This window comes from Homo sapiens, chromosome 5 (assembly GCF_000001405.40).
Source record: "Homo sapiens chromosome 5, GRCh38.p14 Primary Assembly".
Taxonomy (NCBI): Eukaryota; Metazoa; Chordata; class Mammalia; order Primates; family Hominidae; genus Homo; species Homo sapiens.
In genome coordinates, this window is record NC_000005.10 from 126,215,443 (window position 1) to 126,234,372 (window position 18,930).

General features: G+C 42.7%; 1 long non-coding RNA gene across 1 annotated transcript in view, besides 1 other annotated feature; it reads right to left on the minus strand.

Moving 5' to 3' along the window:
* LOC124901056 (uncharacterized) overlaps nt 1-18,930 on the minus strand; it is an 891,204-nt gene that overhangs the window by 736,348 nt on the left and 135,926 nt on the right. The window lies entirely within an intron of this gene.
* Nucleotides 13,613-13,766: a silencer, noted in NCBI's record as "fragment chr5:125564748-125564901 (GRCh37/hg19 assembly coordinates)". NCBI's record gives its function as "represses an EF-1alpha promoter that drives an FKBP-Casp9 reporter gene in an ReSE screen in phorbol 12-myristate 13-acetate-treated (for megakaryocytic differentiation) K562 erythroleukemia cells {active_cell/tissue: K562(+PMA)}" and the evidence as "EXISTENCE:reporter gene assay evidence [ECO:0000049][PMID:32094911]".

The following is an 18,930-nucleotide window of genomic DNA, read 5'->3' on the forward strand; positions in this document are numbered from 1 at the left end:
TGTGCACATGTACCCTAAAACTTAAAGTATAATAATTTTAAAAAAAATAAAATCAGAGTTTTCTAATCAACAGTCTGCAAGCAGTGGTCATGGTCCTCCTAGGACCAGCAGGATAGCATTGGCACATACATCTCTTGGTGACAGCAACAGCACAAGATAGTAAATAAAAACACACAAGGTCTTTTAAGAGCTACACTCAAATCTGGTATACTGTCACTTCTCCCTCATTCTGCTGGTCAAAACAGTCATACAACCAAACCCAAAGTCATGCAAAACACTTTATATTTTATAAGGATACATGAATACATAAAGACATATACCAAACACATTCAAGTAAATGTTACAGGATAGGCAGGAATGGAGGTGGGGTTCTAGATAAAGCATAACTAAATGAGTAATTAAAATAAGGAGACTTACACAGCCTAAGGAAAATAATGTTCTTTGAACTGAGTGGTATGAGTAACTCAATATTTTGAAAAGAATTTTGTAGCCAGTATCTAAAAAGTATAAAAAGGCCAGGCACAGTAGCTCATGCCTGTAATCCCAGCACTCTGGGAGGCGAAGGCGAATGGATCCCTTGAGCCCAGGAGTTCGAGACCAGACTGAGCACATAGTGAGACCCCTATCTCTAAAAAATAAATAAAATTTTAAATATATAAATATATATGTTTTTATATATTTATATACATCTTCAGACTGTTGAAGTAACTTACCCAGGGATAAGCTTCTTAGGTTAAGTGCTTATCTGCTAATTATGGCTTAGCTTGGGCTAGAAAGCATTTCTTTTCCAGCTATATCATATAGACTATCATCTCTAAAATAATACCCATTAGTCCTGCAACTTACACTAGTTATTACAGTCTATTTTTAAAACAAGTTAATTTTGATTTAATAAGGTGTTAATTGAGTGCTTTAAATATTTCCAGTCTTTGAGTCTAATTTGATGTGTTTTCAAGAAACTTATGAGAACTTAGATGGGTAAGATAAGACTTAAATACATAAAATGGATAAATAACACCATCATTTAGATATAGTTTTAATTCAACAAATATGTTTTAATTGCAGCCTGTGTGCTAATCTCTGCAAAAGATGTACATATGAGGAAGAGGTCCCAGGGTAAGTATCAAAAGAGGATACAATGTGGAAAACTTTTCAAAGACAGGATCACACGCAGTTGGAGAAGTCAGAAAAGCCTTCACAGAGGAAGGGGCACAAGAGATGAGCCTTAAAAGATGCATCACATTTCAGTAGGTTCAGACCTAGAAAAGTAGAAGGAAATTCTAGGTGGCAAGAACAACAAAGATACACAAGTAGAGGTTAAAGGTATAATATTTGAGTATCACAGCATAGAAATGCAAACAATCAACCTATTGAATGGCTCAGGTGAGTTAGCCACTGCATCAGGTGCTAGAAATACAAAAATTAATGTAACATGAGTCCCAATCTTGAAGTGCCCACAGTTTGGCTATCAGTGTGTTGAGTTCCTGACATGGATGAGCTCATGAGGAATCAGGTGGAAAGAGCAATGATAAGAAGTGTAACAGCAGAAACATGGAGCACTACTACATGTGAGATGGAGAAGAGGAAAAAGCCAGAAGAAAAGGTAAAAAGGGTCTGTGAAAAAATGTTTGCAATTTGTATTTATACCAAAATCATTAGCCAGGCATGGTGGCATATGCCTGTAATCCCAGCTACTTGGCAGGGGCTGAGGTGGGAGGATCACTTGAGCCCAGGTCAAGGCTTCAGTGAGCCAAGATCACACAACTGCACTCCAGCCTGGGTGACAAAGTGAGACCCTGTGGCAGGAAAAGAAAAAAACTGAGAAAAAAAAATCAACAGTTCAATATAAAATGGGCAAAAGATATGGAGAGTTCACCGAAGAAATGAAAATAGCCCTTAAATATGAAAAGATGCTTAACCTGGATCTTGATAAGTAGTGTAAGTTAAAACTACACTGAGATACTATTTCGGATAAATCAAACTAACAAAAGTCCTTATGCTTGACAATTCAGTGTACTGCTTTCAAGGCTTTAAGGAAAGTCCACTTTCATACATTAATGGAGGAAATGCACAACAGTACAGCACCTATGGAAGGGAATTTAGCAAGACTTTAATTACATACGTGACTTGCATCATACCTCTCCTGAACAGTGCTGCTCTAGATCTAATTATCAGCTTACAGAAAATTTAGGGGACAGGGGACATGTTGAAGACACCCAAATTCAGACAGCCATATCCAGTATGAGGAAAATTCTAATACAAAAATGATTCATATTCCAAAATAGATGACAAGAACAGGGAAATTGAACACAGACCAATTCCTGGATGATTCAAAGAATAACCATTAATCCTTAGGTGTGCTAATGCCATCTGGGTTTTTTAAGTCTCTATGTTTTAGAGATACATACGGAATTATTTGTAGTTCAAATGATATGCAGTCTGAGACTTGCTTTAATCTCCTGAAAAATAAAGTATGAGGAGATAGATAAAATCAGAATAACAAAGCAATGACCATTATTGAAGCTGGGTCATGGAAACAGGGCTTCATTATACTGTTTTTTTCTACTTCTATTTAGGTTCAAAATTTTTAATAATTAAAAACGTTTTTTAAAAATTAATTACTGGAGATACAAAAGTGTCAGCTAAGGAGTGCAATGTCCCTGATGTTATCTTTTTAAAAAAGGAAAATTAAGCATCATCTCCTAGTACTATAGAAATATGTAAAGATCCATGATAAATAACATCAGCAAAGTTTCAAGATACAAAATCAGTGTACAAAAGTCAGTAGCATTTCTATACACCAAAACATCCAAGCTGAGAGCCAAATCAGAACACAATCCCATTCACAATAGTCACAAAAAGAATAAGATACCTGGGTATACAGCTAACCAGAGGGTGAAAGAGCTCTACAATAAGAATTACAAAACACTGCTCAAAGGAATCAGAGATTACATAAACAAATGGAAAACATTTTGTGCTCATAGGTGGAAAGAATCAATATCATTAAAATGGCCATACTACCCAAAACTACTTACAGATTCACTGCATTCCTATCAAGTTACCAATGACATTCTTCACAGAATTAGAAAAAACTCCTTTAAAATTCATAGGGAACCAAAAAGGAGCCCAAATAGCCGAGGCAATCCTAAGCAAAAAGAACAAAGTGGGAGGGATCATGTTACCTGACTTCAAACTATACTTCAAGGCTACAGTAACCAAAACAGCATGGTACTAGCACAAAAACAGACACATAGACCAATGAAATAGAACAGAGAGCCCAAAAATAAATGCTGCACACTTACAACCATCTTATATCCAACAAAGTCAACAAAAACAAGCAATGGGAAAAAGACTACCTATTCCATAAATGATGCTAAGATAACTGGCTAGCCATATGCAGAAGATTGAAACTGGACCCCTTCCTTATACCACATACAAAAGTCAACTCAAGATGGGTTAAAGACTTACATGTAAGACCCCAAACTATAAAAACCATGGAAGACAACCTAGGCAATATCATTCTAGACATAGAAAGGGTAAAGTTTTCATGACAAAGATGCCAAAAGCAATTGTGGTAAAAATAAAGATTGACAAATGGGTCCTAACTAAACTAAACAGCTTCTGCACAGCAAAAGAAACTATCAACAGGGTAAACATACAACCTACAGAATGGAAAAAACATTGTAAACTATGCATTCAATAAAGGTCTAATATCCAGAAACTGTAAGGAACTTATACAAATTAGCAAGCAAAAAACAAACAACCCCATTAAAAAGTAGGCAAAGCTACCAACCAAGAAAAGCCTGGAATCTGATGGATTTACAGCCAAATTCTACCAGATGTATAAAGAAGAGCTGGTACCATTCCTACAGAAATTATTTCAAAAAACTGAGGAGGGACTCCTCCCTAACTCATTTATGAGGCCAGCATCATCTTGATACCAAAACCTGGCAGACACAACAACAAAAAAATAACTTCAAACCAATATCCTTGATGAACATCAATGAAAAAATCCTCAACAAAATACTTGCAAACCGAATCCAGCAGCACATCATAAAGCTAATCTACTGTGATCAACTAGGCTTCATCCCCAGCAAGCAAGGTTGGTTCAACATATACAAATCAATAAATGTGATTCATCATATAAATAGAACTAAAAACAAAAAACACATGATTATCTCAACAGATGCAGGAAAGGCTTTCACTAAAATTCAACATCCTTTCATGTTAAAATCTCTCAAGAAACTAGGTACTGAGGGAACATACCTCAAAATAGTAAGCCATCTATGACAAACTCACAGCCAACATTATACTGAATTGACAACAGCTGGAAGCATTCCACTTGAAAACTGGCAGAAGATGAGGATCACCACTCACCTCTCTCACCACTTCTATTCAACATAGTACTGGAAGTCCTAGCCAGAGCAGTCAGGCAGCATAAATAAATAAAAGGCATCCAAATAGGAAGAGAGGAAGCCAAACTATCTGTCTGCAGACAACATGATTCAATATCTAGAAAACCCCACTGTCTCAACCCAAAAGCTCCTCCATCTGATAGACAACTTCAGCAAAGTTTCAGGATACAAAATCAATGTACAAAAATCACTAGCATTCCTATATACCAACAACACCGAAACCGAGAGCCAAATTAGAAAGGCAACTCCATTCACAATTGCCACACAAAGGAAATAACGTACCTAGGAACACAGCTAACCAGGGAGGGGAAAGATCTCTACAATAAGAATTATAAAACATTGCTCAAAAAAATCAGAGAAGACATAAATGAAAGGAAAAACATCCCATGCTTATGGACAGGAAGAATCAATGTCATTAAAATGGTTATACTGCCCAAAGCAATTTACAAATTTAGTGCTATTCCTATCAAACTATCTACACCATTCTTCACAGAACTAAAAAAAATTAACTATTTTAAAATTTGTATGGCCAGGCATGGTGGCTCACACCTGTAATCCTAGCACTTTGGTAGGCTGAGGCAGGCAGATCACCTGAGGTCAGGAGTTTGAGACCAGCCTGGCCAACATAGTGAAACCCCATCTCTACTAAAAATGAAAAATTTAGCTGGGCATGGTAGTGCACATCTGTAATCCCAGATACTTGGGAGGCAGGAGAATTGCTTCAACCCGGAAGGCAGCGAAGGTTGCAGTGAGTCAAGATTGTGCCACTGTATTCCAGCCTGGGTGACAGAGCAAAGCTCTGTCTCAAGAAAAAAAAAAAAAGTGTAAAACCACAAAAGAGCTCAAATAGCCAAAGCAACCCTAAGCAAAAAGAACAAAGCTGGAGGCATTGAGAGGTGACAATGTGCTAGTAGCCCTCGCTCACTCTCGGTGCCTCCTTGGCTTGGCGTCCACTCTGGCCACACTTGGGGAGCCCTTCAGCCTACTGCTGTGCTATGAGGGCCCCTCTCTGGGGCTGGCTGAGGCCAGAGCCAGTTCCCTCTGCTCACAGGGAGGTGTGGAGGGACAGGCGCGGGGGGGAGCCGGGGCTGTGCACAGCACTCAGAGGCCAGCGTGGGTTCTGGGTAGGTGCGGGCTCAGTGGGCCCCACACTCGACATGGCCAGCCGACACCTGCTGGGCTTGATCAGTGGCTGGGTCCCATGCTTGGACAATTGTTCCCTCTTCACAGGGTCATTGGCCATGATGGCGGGTCTCCATCTCTGTCTCACTTCCCCTCTTTTCCTCTTGGTTGTCTGGGATGAGCTCCTTCTGGGCTGCCAAAGTGCCCGGGCTAGGAGCTGCAAAGTCCTGTGGCAAGTGCCAGTGAGAGGTGAAGCCAGCTGGGCTTCTGGGACGTGTAGGGACTTGGAGAACTTTTGTGTCTAGCTAAAGGATTGTAAACACACCTATCAGCACTCTGTGTCTAGCTAAAGGTTTGTAAATGCACCAATCAGCACTCTGTGTCTAGCTAAAGGATTGTAAACGCACCAATCAGCACTCTGTGTCTAGCTAAAGGATTGTAAACACACCAATCAGCACTCTGTCAAAACGGACCAATCAGCTGTCTGTAAAACGGACCAATCAACTCTCTGTAAAATGGACCAATCAGCAGGATGTGCGTGGGGCCAGATAAGGGAATAAAAGCAGACCACCTGAGCCAGCAGCAGCAACCCACTCGGGTCCCCTTTGACACTGTGGAAGCTTTGTTCTTTCGCTCTTTGCAATAAATCTTGCTGCTGCTCACTCTTTGGGTCTGCACCAACTTTCTGAGCTGTAACACTCACCACGAAGGTCTGCAGCTTCACTCCTGAGGCCAATGAGAGCATAAACCCACTCAAAGGAATGAACAACTCCAAACGTGCTGCCTTTAAGAACGGTAACACTCACTGCGAGGGTATGCGGCTTCATTCTTGAAGTCAGCGAGACCAAGAACCCACCAATTCTGGACACATTTTGGTGACCACGAAGGAACCATCGCTTATCGCCAAGTGGTGAGTACCACTGGACCCCTTTCACTTGCTATTCTGTCCTATTTTTCCTTAGAATTCGGAGGTTAAATACCAGGCACCTGTCGGCCAGTTAAGAGCAACTAGCATGGCTGCCAGACTAAAGACACTGGTGTCAGGCTTTCTGGGAAAGGGCTCTCTAACAATCCCTGCCTCTTCGGAGTTTGGAGCATTTGTTTGCCTGGAACCAGCTTCCACTTTTCCTGTACTTCTGGGCTGAGCCAAGGGTCGACAGAGAGGAAAGCCATTCAGCTCCGGGGTCCCAACAACAAGTTGGTTGACCCTGTGGCCATGAGCAGAACTCTCAAAGTCATGTCACCCAAGGGAGACTCACCCATCTATTCTATCTACCCTGACCATTGCCTCCTGGGTCCTAATGCCTGCCAAACAAACTTCCTCTCACCTCTCTTCTCTGAGGCTAGTCCCACTTCTAAAAATCTCTCCCTGTCTTTGGTGCTTTTCTAGTTTCTCCTATGAGAATGATTTCTAATATAAACTCCAGGACTCTGTTACCTTCTTTAGGCACCTGGGCTCACCAATCAGAAAGACATAATTTTTGCCCAAAGCCCCATCATAGTGGGGACTATCTGGAATTTTAGGATCCCTCCCTCAGACTAGCAGGGCTAACAAAAGTTATTCCTGAAGCTAGGATATGGGGAGCCTCAGAAATTTTATCCTTCCTATTTATATAAGTGAGAAGAAAAGGTGTCACTCTTCCAACTCTGGAGATCCCTCCCCTCCCTCAGGGTATGGCCCTTCACTTCATTTTTGGGGCATAACATCTTTATAGGACACAGGTAAGGTCCCAATACCAACAGGAGAACGCTTAGGACTCTAACAGGTTTTCGAGAATGCGTCGGTCAAGGCCACTAAATCCGATTTTTCTCAGTCCTCTTTGTGGTCTAGGAGGACAGACAAGGGTGCAGGTTTTCGAGAATGTGTTGGTAAGGGCCACTAAATCCAACCTTCCTCAGTCCCCCTTGTGGTCTGGGAGGAAAACTAGTGTTTCTGCTGCTGCGTCGGTGAGTTCAACTATGCCCATCAGGAGGGTCCAGGGACTGTTGCAGGTTCTCGGGCAGGGGGAGAAACAAAACAAACCAAAACCATGGGCAGTTTTGGCTTTCAGATGGGAAACACTCAGGCATCAACAGGCTCACCCTTGAAATGCGTCCTAAGCCATTGGGACCAATTTGACCCACAAACCCTGAAAAAGAGGTGGCTCATTTTTTTCTGCCCTACAGCCGGGCCCCAATATTCTCTCTCTGATGGGGAAAAATGGCCACCTGAGGGAAGTACAAATTACAATACTATCCTGCAGTTTGACCTTTTCTGTAAGAGGGAAGGCAAATGGAGTGAAATACCTTATGTCCAAGCTTTCTTTTCATTGAAGGAAAATACACAACTATGCAAAGCTTGCAATTTACATCCCACAGGAGGACCTCTCAGCTTACACCCGTATCTTAGGCTCCCTATAGATCCCCTTCCTATTAATGATAAGCCTCCTCAAATCTCCCCTGCCCAGAAGGAAATAAGCCAAGAAATCTCCAAAGGACCACAAAAACCCCCAGGCTATCGGTTATGTCCCCTTCAAGCTGTAGGGGGAGGGGAATTTGGCCCAACCCAGGTACATGTCCCCTTCTCCCTCTCTGATTTAAAGCAGATCAAGGCAGACCTGGGTAAGTTTTCAGATGATCCTGATAGGTACATAGATGTCCTACAGGGTCTAGGGCAAACCTTCGACCTTAATTGGAGAGATAGCTGGAGCTATTATCTACATGAATATGGGGAACAAGTTACCCATTTGTTGTCCCCTACTTGAAGAGGGAATCAACCCTGAAGTCTGGGCATTGGAAGGACAATTTGGAAGGGCAAAAAATGCCCACCCAGTCCAAATCAGGCTAAAAGACCCCACCACTTTTCCTTATTAAAGGCAATATCCCTTAAGGCCTGAAGCTCATAAAGGTTTATAGGATATTGTTAAACACTTAGAAGCTCAAGGTTTAGTAAGGAAATGTAGCAGTCCCTGCAACATCCCAATTATAGGAGTACAAAAACCAAATGGTCAGTGGAGACTAGTGCAAGATCTCAGACTCATCAGTGAGGCAGTAATTCCTCTATATCCAGTTGTACTCAATCCCTATACTCTGCTCTCTCAAATGCCAGAGGAAGCAGAATGGTTCACAGTTCTGGACCTTAAGGATGCCTTCTTCTGTATTCCCCTGCACTCTGACTCCCAGTTTCTCTTTGACTTTGAGGATCCCACATACCACACATCCCAACTTATGTGGACTCTCTTGCCCCAAGGGTTTAAGGATAGCCCTCACCTGTTTGGTCAGACACTGGCCCAAGATCTAGGCCACTTCTCAAGTCCAGGCCCTCTGGTCCCTCAGTATATGGATGATTTACTTTTGGCTACCAGTTCAGAAGCCTCGTGCCAGCAGGCTACTCTAGATCTCTTCAACTTTATAGCTAATCAAGGGTACAAGATGTCGAGGTCGAAGGCCCAGCTTTGCCTACAGCAGGTCAAATATCTAGGCCTAATCTTAGCCAGAGGGACCAGGGCCTTCAGCAAGGAATGAATACAGCCTATACTGGCTTATCCTTACCCCAGGACATTAAAACAGTTGCAGGGGGGTTCCTTGGAATCACTGGCTTTTGCCGACTGTGGATCCCCAGATACAGCAAGATAGCCAGGCCCCTCTATACTCTAATCAAGGAGACCCAGAGGGCAAATACTCATTTAGTAGAATGGGAACCAGAGGCAGAAACAGCCTTCAAAACCTTAAAGAAGGCCCTGGTACAAGCTCCAGTTTTAAGCCTTCCCACAGGACAAAACTTCTCTTTATACATCACAGAGAAAGCAGGGATAGCTCTTGGAGTCCTTACTCAGACTTGTGGGACAACCCCACAACCAGTGGCATACCTAAGTAAGGAAATTGATGTAGTAACAAAAGGCTGGCCTCACTGTTTATGGGTAGTTGTGGCAGTGGCTGTCTTAGTGTCAGAGGCTATCAAGATAATACAAGGAAAGGATCTCACTGTCTGGACTACTCATGATGTAAATGGCATGCTAGGTGCCAAAGGAAGTTTATGGCTATCAGACAGCCAACTACTTACATACCAGGTGCTACTCCTTGAGGGACCAGTGCTTCAAATACATATGTGCATGGCCCTCAACCCTGCCACTTTTCTCCCAAAGGATGGGGAACCAATCGAGCAAGACTGCCAACAAATTATAGTCCAGAGTTATGCCACCTGAGAGGATCTCTTAGAAGTCCCCTTAACTAATCCTGACCTTAACCTATATACCGATGGAAGTTCATTTGTGGAGAATGGGATATGAAGGGCAGGTTATGCCATAGTTAGTGATGTAACCATACTTGAAAGTAAGCGTCTTCCCCCAGGGACCAGTGCCCAGTTAGCAGAACTAGTGGCACTTACCCGAGCTTAGAACTGGGAAAGGGAAAAAGAATAAATGTGTATACAGATAGCAAGTATGTTTATCTAATCCTACATGCCCATGCTGCGATATGGAAAGAAAGGGAGTTCCTAACCTCTGGGGGAACCCCCATTAAATACCACAAGGAAATTATAGAGTTATTGCACGAAGTGCAAAAACCCAAGGAGGTGGCAGTCATACACTGCCAAAGCCATCAGAAAGGTGAAGGAGAAAAGGCAGAAGGAAACCGTCAGGCAGATGCTGAGGCCAAAATTGCTGCCAGGCGGGACCCCCCCATTAGAAATACCTACTGAAGGACCCTTGGTATGGAACAACCCCCTCCAAGAGGTTAAGCCCCAGTATTCTCCGACTGAAAGAGAATGGGGACTTTCACAGGGGCATAGTTTTCTCTCCTCAGGGTAGTTAATGACAGAAGAAGGAAAGGTACTGATACCCGAAGCCAGCCAGTGGAAAATACTTAAAACCCTCCACCAAACTTTTCATATGGGTATTGAAAACACTCAAAGGGCCAAATCTCCTCTGAACCATCCAACAGGTAGTCAAAGCCTGTGAGTTGTGCCAATGGAATAATCCCTTGGTCCATCGTAAGGCCCCTTTGGGGGAACAAAGAATATGTCACTATCCTGGACAGGACTGGCAGTTAGACTTCACCCATATGCCTAAGTCAAAGGGATTTCAATACTTGTTGGTCTGTGTTAATACCTTTACAAATTGGATAGAAGCTTTCCCCTGCAAGACAGAGAAGTCTCAGGAAGTGATTAAAGTCCTAATTCATGAAATAATTCCTAGATTTGGGCTTCCCCAAAGCTTACAGAGCAACAATGGTCTGGCTTTTAAAGCCGCGATAACTCAGGGAATTTCCAGGGTGCTAGGGATACAGTATCACTTTCACTGTACCTGGAGGCCACAATCCTCAGGGAAGGGCGAGAAGGCAAATGAAACACTCAAGAGGCACTTAAGGAAACTAACACAAGAAACTCATCTCCCATGGCCTACTCTTTTGCCCATGGCCTTGTTGAGAATCTGAAATTCTCCTCACAAAATGAGGCTCAGTCCATATGAAATGCTATATGGACAACCTTTTCTCACAAATGACCTCCTACTTGATCAGGGAACAGCCAACTTGGTCAAAGATATAACTTCTTTGGCAAAATATAAACAAAACCTTAAAAACCTACCTGAAGGATGTCACAGAAAAAAAGGAACAGAGTTGTTTCAACCAGGAGATCTAGTGTTGGTCAAATCTCTCCCCTCTACCTGCCCATCTATGGACTCTTTGTGGGAAGGAACATACTCAGTAATCTTCTCTACCCCCACTGCAGTTAAGGTGGCAGGAGTGGAATCTTGGACTCACCACACCCGAGTTAAACTTTGGACATCCCCTGAGGAACCTGCAGGACCCTCAGCTCAGGAGTCCCAAGATCAGCCAGACCACCCTCGATACACCTGTGAACCATTGGAGGACTTACATCTCCTATTTCAGAAGGAAACATCCCAGACTAAAAAGGCTCCTACCACTGATCCTGTGGAAAAACCCCTTCCTCCTTAAAAAAGGTAAGTGAAAACAGCATACTAACCATACTCTTTGCAATAGGACTATATACTGTAGCTCCTACCAGGATGAAAATCCTAATCACATCAACCTTCTTTCTTCAATCTTCCTTCCTTTTGACAGCAATTTACTCCTACCTTTAACTCAGACTAGATAAAATAATCTTGTCTTCCAGAGCACCCTCTTTACCTTCTTATTTGCTCTTTCCCTACGTATATCCCTCCTGCTTCCTTGGATACCTCACACAATCACAACCTCCCCTTCCACTAGCTCCTAATTGTCTCTACAAGACTCTCAACTTAACGCACTCTCTGTTAAACCAGTCCAATCCTTCCCTGGCAAATGACTGTTGGCTTTGAATCTCTCTATCAACCTCTGCTTACGTTGCCAATCCCATTCCCCCAAAAAACTGGGTCTTTACCAACTTAACCTACCACCCTCATTATGAAGGAAAAGACCCTTTCTGACTTCTAAATATGCAATCATTGACTGACTTCCCCATCTCTGATAGGACCAAGAATACCCTAATAGGACATGCAATCCAACTTTTACGTTCTTACATTTCCAACCTCACCTATTACACAAGCGATGAAAAGCCGATACATGGCCCTGTAACTATGAATACCATTTTAACTTTCCAAGCCCCTTTACGCATCCAACGCAACCTGTTATCAGGCCTGGCCCTGGGGCACCTACTACCCCATCAGTGTAATTACACCCTACAACTTCAAGCCCCAACTGATCATAGTAACTTCCGAGTCACCCGAACAGCTCCATTCAGATGGTTTGTCCGCTTCTCAAGGCCCCCAAAAATCATCACCTCCTCCCTGCTTAACAAACACTCCAGGTTTTGTAATGGCAAACATACTCCCTGTATGACCATTCATCCCTGGACTCCCTCCAGCAGTGCCCCTACCACTCGTGAATGCCTTCTCATCCCCTCTTTCAATCACTCTCTTGAATGGTTCCTAGTGGATACAAAACACTTTTTTCTCCAATGGGAAAATAGAACACAGGGAGCCACTCAGTTTGCTCCCAACACCCCTTTCCAGCCGCTCACTGGAGCTACCTTGGCAAGTACTCTAGGAGTATGGGAAAATGAAAAACACAAATTCACACACCTTTTTGACATATACAACCAGTTCTGTCTACCCAGCCAAGGTATATTCTTCTTATGTGGAACATCGACCTATATCTGCCTCCCCACTAACTGGACAGGCACCTGTGCCTTAGTCTTTCTAAGTCCCAACATTAACATTGCCCCAGGAAATCAGACCTTATCAGTACCCCTCAAAGTTCAAGTCTGTCAGCACAGAGCCATCCGTGCTAATACCCCTACTTATAGGGTTAGGAATGGCTACTGCTACAGGAACCAGAATAGCCAGTTTATCTACTTGATTATCCTACTACCACACACTCTCAAAGGATTTCTCAGACAGTTTGCAAGGAACAACGAAATCTATCCTTACTCTACAATCCCATATAGACTCTCTGGCAGCAGTGATTCTCCAAAACCACCGAGGCCTAGACCTCCTCACTGCTGAGAAAGGAAGACTCTGCACCTTCTTAGGGGAAGAGTGTTATTTTTACACTAACCAGTCAGGGATAGTACGAGATGCCACCCTGCATTTGCAGGAAAAGGTTTCTGAAATCAGACAACGCCTTTCAAACTCTTATACCAACCTCTGGAGTTGGACAACATGGCTTCTCCCCTTTCTAGGTCCCATGGCAGCCATCTTGCTGTTACTTGCCTTTGGGCCCTGTATCTTTAACCTTGTCAAATTTGTCTCCTCTAGAATCTAGGCCATCAAGCTACAGATGGTCTTACAAAGGGAACCCCAAATGAGCTCAACTAACGACTTCTACTGAGGACCCCTGGACCAAACCACTTCCCCTCTAGAGGATACTACAACTGCAGGGCTGCTTCTTCACCCCTATCCAGCAGGAAGTAGCTAGAGCGGTCATCAGCCAAATTCCCAACAGCAGTTGGGGTGTCCTGTTTAAAGGGGGAATTGAGAGATAACAACGTGCTAGCAGCCCTCACTTGCTCTCAGCACCTCCTTGGCCTCAGTGTCCACTCTGGCCACGCTTGAAGAGCCCTTCAGCCCGCCACTGTGCTATGAGGGACCCTCTCTGGGGCTGGCTGAGGCTGGAGCCAGCTCCCACTGCTCACGGGGAGGTGTGGAGGAACAGGCACAGGCAGGAACCGGGGCTGTGTGCAGTGCTCACAGGCCAGCGTGGGTTCCGGGTGGGCGCAGGCTTGGCAGGCCCCACACTTGGTGCGTCTGGCCGACGACTGCTGGGATTGATCAGAGTCTGGGTCCCATGCCTGGACCACCGTTCCCTCTTTGCAGGGTCATTGGCCATGATGGAGGGTCTCCGTCTCTTTCTCGCTTCCCCTCTTTTCCTCTTGGTTGTCTGGGACGAGCTCCTTCTGGGCTGCCAGAGTGCCTGGGCTAGGAGCTGCAGAGTCCTGTGGTGAGTGCCAGTTAGAGGTGAAGCTGGCTGGGCTTCTGGGATGGGTGGGGACTTGGAGAACTTTTCTGTCTAGCTAAAGGATTGTAAATGTACCAGTCAGCACTCTGTGTCTAGCTAAAGGTTTGTAAACACACCAATCAGCGCTGTATGTCTAGCTAATCTGGTGGGGACTTAGAGAACTTTTGTGTCTAGCTAAAGGATTATAAATGCACAAATCAGCACTCTGTGTCTAGCTAAAGGATCATAAATGCACCAATCAGCACTCTGTCAAAATGGACCAATCAGTTGTCTATAAAATGGACCAATCAGCTCTCTGTAAAATGGGCCAATCAGCTCTCTGTAAAATGGACCAATCAGCAGGATGTGGGTGGGACCAGATAAGGGAATAAAAGCAGGCCACCCGAGCCAGCAGTGGCAACCCACTCGGGTTCCCTTCCACTCTGTGGAAGCTTTGTTCTTTCACTCTTCGCAGTAAATCTTGCTGCTGCTCACTCTTTGGGTCCACTCTGCCTTTCTGAGCTGTAACACTCACCGCGAAGGTCTGCAGCTTCACTCCTGAAGCCAGCAAGACTACAAACCCACTGGGAGGGATGAACAGCTCCGGACGGGAGGAACGAACAACTCTGGACACGCCACCTTTATGAACTGTAACAGTCACTGTGAAGGTCTGCAGCTTCACTCCTGAGGCCAGCAAGACCATAAACCCACCGGAAGGAACGAACAACTCCAGATGTGCCGCCTTTAAGGACTGTAACACTCACCACAAGGGTCCGCGGCTTCATTCTTGAAGTCAGCAAGACCAAGAACCCACCAATTCCAGACACAGCATCACATTACCTGACTTCAAATTATACTACAAGACTACAATAACCAAAACAGCATAGTACTGGTAAGGCACATAGAACAATAGAACAGAAAGAGAACCCAGAAATAAGACCACACATCTACAACCATCTGATCTTTGACAAAGCTGACATAAGCAGTGGGGAAAATAATCCCTATTCAATAAATAGTGCTGGGAGAACTGGCTAGCCATATGCAGAAGATTGAAGCAGGACCCCTTCCTTATGCCTTCTAAAAAAATCAACTCAAGATGGATTAAAGACTTACATGTAGAACACAAAACTATAAAAACCCTGAAAGACAACCTAGGCAATACCCTCCTGGACACAGGAACAGGCAGATTTCATGACAAAGACACTAAAAGCAATTGCAACAAAAGCAAAAATTGACAAGTGGGATCTAATTAAACTTAAGAGCTTCTGCACAGGAAAAGAAACTATCAAGATGGTAAATAGACAACCTACAGGATGGGAGAAAATATTTGCTAATTATGCACCTGACAAAGATCTAATATTCAGCATCTATAAGGAACTTAAATTTACAAGAGAAAAATAATCCCATTGAAAAGTGGGTAAAGGACATGAATACACACTGCTCAAAAGACAACATACTTGTGGCCAACAAGCATATGAAAAAAGCTCAGTATCACTGATCATTAGAGAAATGCAATCCAAAACCACAATGAGATACCATCTTACACCAGTCAGAATGGCTAATATTAAAAAGTCAAAAAATAACAGGTGCTGGCAAGGTCGCAGAGAAAAGGGAACCCTTATACACTGTTGGTAGGAGTGTAAATTACTTCAACCATTGTGGAAATCAACATGTTAATTCCTCAAAGAGCTAAAATCAGAACTACCATTTGACCCAGTAATCCCATTACTGGGTATATACCCAGATGACTATAAATCATTCTACCATAAAGACACGTGCTAGTGAATGTTCTTTGCAGCACTATTCACAAGAGCAAAGACATAGAGTCAACCTAAATGCCCATCAGTGACAGACTGGATAAAGAAAATGTGGTACGTATACACCATGGCATACTATGCAGCCACAAAGAACAAGTCATGCCTTTTGCAGGAACATGGATAGAGCTGGAGGCTATTATCCTTAGCAAACTAATGCAGGAACAGAAAACCAAATACGCATGTTCTCATTTATATGTAGGAGCTAAATGATAAGAACTTACGAACACGAAGAAGAAAACAACAGACAGTGGGGTCTACTTGAGGGGTGGGGGGTAGGAGGAGGGAGAAGAACAGAAAAGGTAACTATTGGGTATTCGGCTTAATACTTGGGTTATGAAATAATATGTACAACAAACCCCCATGACACATGTTTACTTATGTAACAAACCTTCACCTGTATCCCCAAACCTAAAAGTTAAAAAAAAAACCTAAAAAAAAAAAAAAAACTGGGCAAAGGACATGAACAGACATTGTTCAAAAGAAGACATACAACCAACAAGCAGATGAAAAAAAACTCAACATCACTGATTAGAGAAACATAAACCAAAACCACAATGAGATACCGTATCACACCAGTCAGAAGGACTATTATTAAAAAGTCAAAAACAGCAGTTGCTGGCAAGGTTACAGGGAAAAGAAAACATTTATACACTGCTGGTGGGAGTGTAAATTAGCCATTAGGGAAAGCAGTTTGATGATTTCTCAAAGAACTTAAAAGAGAGGTACCATTCAACCCAGCAATCAATTATTGGGTCTACACCCGAAGGAATCCAAGTTGTACTACCATAAAGACACACATATGCATATGTTTATTGCAGCACTGGTCACAATAGCAAAGACATGGAATCAACCTAAATGCCCATCAATGGTAGACTGGATAAAGTAAATGTGGTACATATACCCCATGGAATACTACACAGCCATAAAATGGAACAAAATCATGTCCTTTGCAGCAACATGGTTGGAGCTGGAAGTCATTATCCTGAGCAAACTAACACAGGAACAGAAAACCAAATACCACACATGTTAGCTTACAAGTGAGAGCTAAACACTGAGTACACATAGATACAAAAGAACAGCAGATACCAGATACCAGGGCCTACTTGAGGTAGAGGTGGGAGGATGGAGAGGATCAAAAAACTATTATCAGGTACTATGTTTATTACTTGGGTGGTGAAATAATTTGTACATCAAACCCCCCATGAGATAAAATTTACCTATATAACAAACCTGCACATGTACCCTTGAGCCTAAAATACAAGTTAAAAAAAAAAGAAATATGTAAAGACCCAAGGGACAATACTGCAGAAAAATTCAGGAAGCCCAGTGAGTAAAACCACTGGGTTTATCAGTTTAAATGATAATTACAGTTTGAGTAAAAGCAATGGATACAAAAGCCAAGCTGTAAAAGCCTGAAAGAAATTATCAAGGATGAATTGTCAAAATGATAGGTTCTTAGAAGGCTTTGGCCATCATGGAAAAGAGAGAAACTTGATTTAGATCACAAGTGGCATAATTAAGTACCATAATCAGTATCACCAAGTCAATCAAGTATTTCTTAAAGTCACTAAATATTCAAAAGTATTATAATATCATAGAAGTAGCACTAGTTTAGTAATCTGAACATCTGAATTCTAATTTCAAACATTACCTGTGTTTGAAATTAGAACATATCTATTTTCTTCCCTTGGTGAAAAAAAGAGGTGGTTTTGGAGATGCGAAACTCTATAAATATGACTTTGGATCATCCTTCCCCTAAGGAGTGGATGCGTGAGAAAGGAGCCACAAAGAACAAGTCATGTCTTTTTTGGGAACATGGATGGAGCTAGAGGCTATTATCCTTAGCAAACGAATGCAGGAACAAAAAACCAAATACGCATGTTCTCACTTATATGTGGGAGCTAATTGATGAGAACTTATGAACACGAAGAAGAAAACAACAGACAGTGGGGTCTACTGGAGAGGGGAGGGTAGGAGGAGGGAGAAGTAGTACTTTACACTCCCACAGGGTATAAGGGTTCCCTTTTCTCTGCAACCTTGCCAGCATCTGCTATTTTTGACTTTTTAAAAAAGTGGAGAGGATGCGTGAGAAAGGAGAGCTGAGAGAATGCAACGCGAAGCCTTGTTCGACTACTGGACTCTGGACATGCCAATCATCTTCACTTTGTACATGAGCATCTGCTTTGTACATAAGCAGAGGGCTGAAGGGATCTCTCAGACCAGAAACAGAAACATGTAGCCAATCACAGACTGGAGTGTAAGTCTGCCTCTGGTTACTGCAAGGAAGTAATTTATTATAGTGGAGTTACAAGAAACATGGGCATTGGCTTGGTCCGCATGTGTCTTACTGTGAACTGTCTCCAGATGTTAGCTAGAATTGCTCAGAGTCATCAAAAAGTTAAATAATCCTGGAACATCCAGTGAATAAGCTTGCAGCAAGTTTCAGGGAAAAGGTCAAGGTGAGGACAGAAATTTCTGGGATCATCAACTCTAAACTGTAAGTTCTTCCATCTGACTCCAAATACCTTGAGAACAGAAGGCATACCTTCCGTGCATTTATTCAACAAATATTGGAACCCCAGGATGTGTTAGACTCCATGCTGGGTGTTAGAAATGGAAGAGCAAATGTTATTTACTAATACTCCAACCAGCATAAATAACAATTTTGAACGGAAGGGGTCTTTGCTTTTCAGGTGAAGAGGACCACATGGGGTTCGGGAAAAGAATCTTTAGAAGTCAACATAAAAATATCTTTCTAATTCAGAAGCAGATGATATATTTACCCACACATTGGGAGAAAACCACAAAGCAGTTTTCCAGTAGAAAGCAATTACAAACAACACAACTTGTAATAATGGAGAAAATAATTTAATAGAAAACAGAAAATGATGAGCATAGACAAAGCAAAACTACTCTGCACAAAAAGATCCCCTTATGAGTAGAAAACAACTTCCACTGCTCCTGGCAAAACAAACAAACAAACCTGGATAGGATTTAGACTGTAGATGTACTTAAAACACAAATGTACTTCAGGCCAGAAGTAGGATTGCCAGATCTCATCTGCAACTAAAGAGAGTGAAGTACGGATCCGAAAAATAGAAGTGTGCTTGTTGCTATGCTCTTGAAAATTTTAGGATGCTTCTCCTGGCTTTGGGGGAAAATAT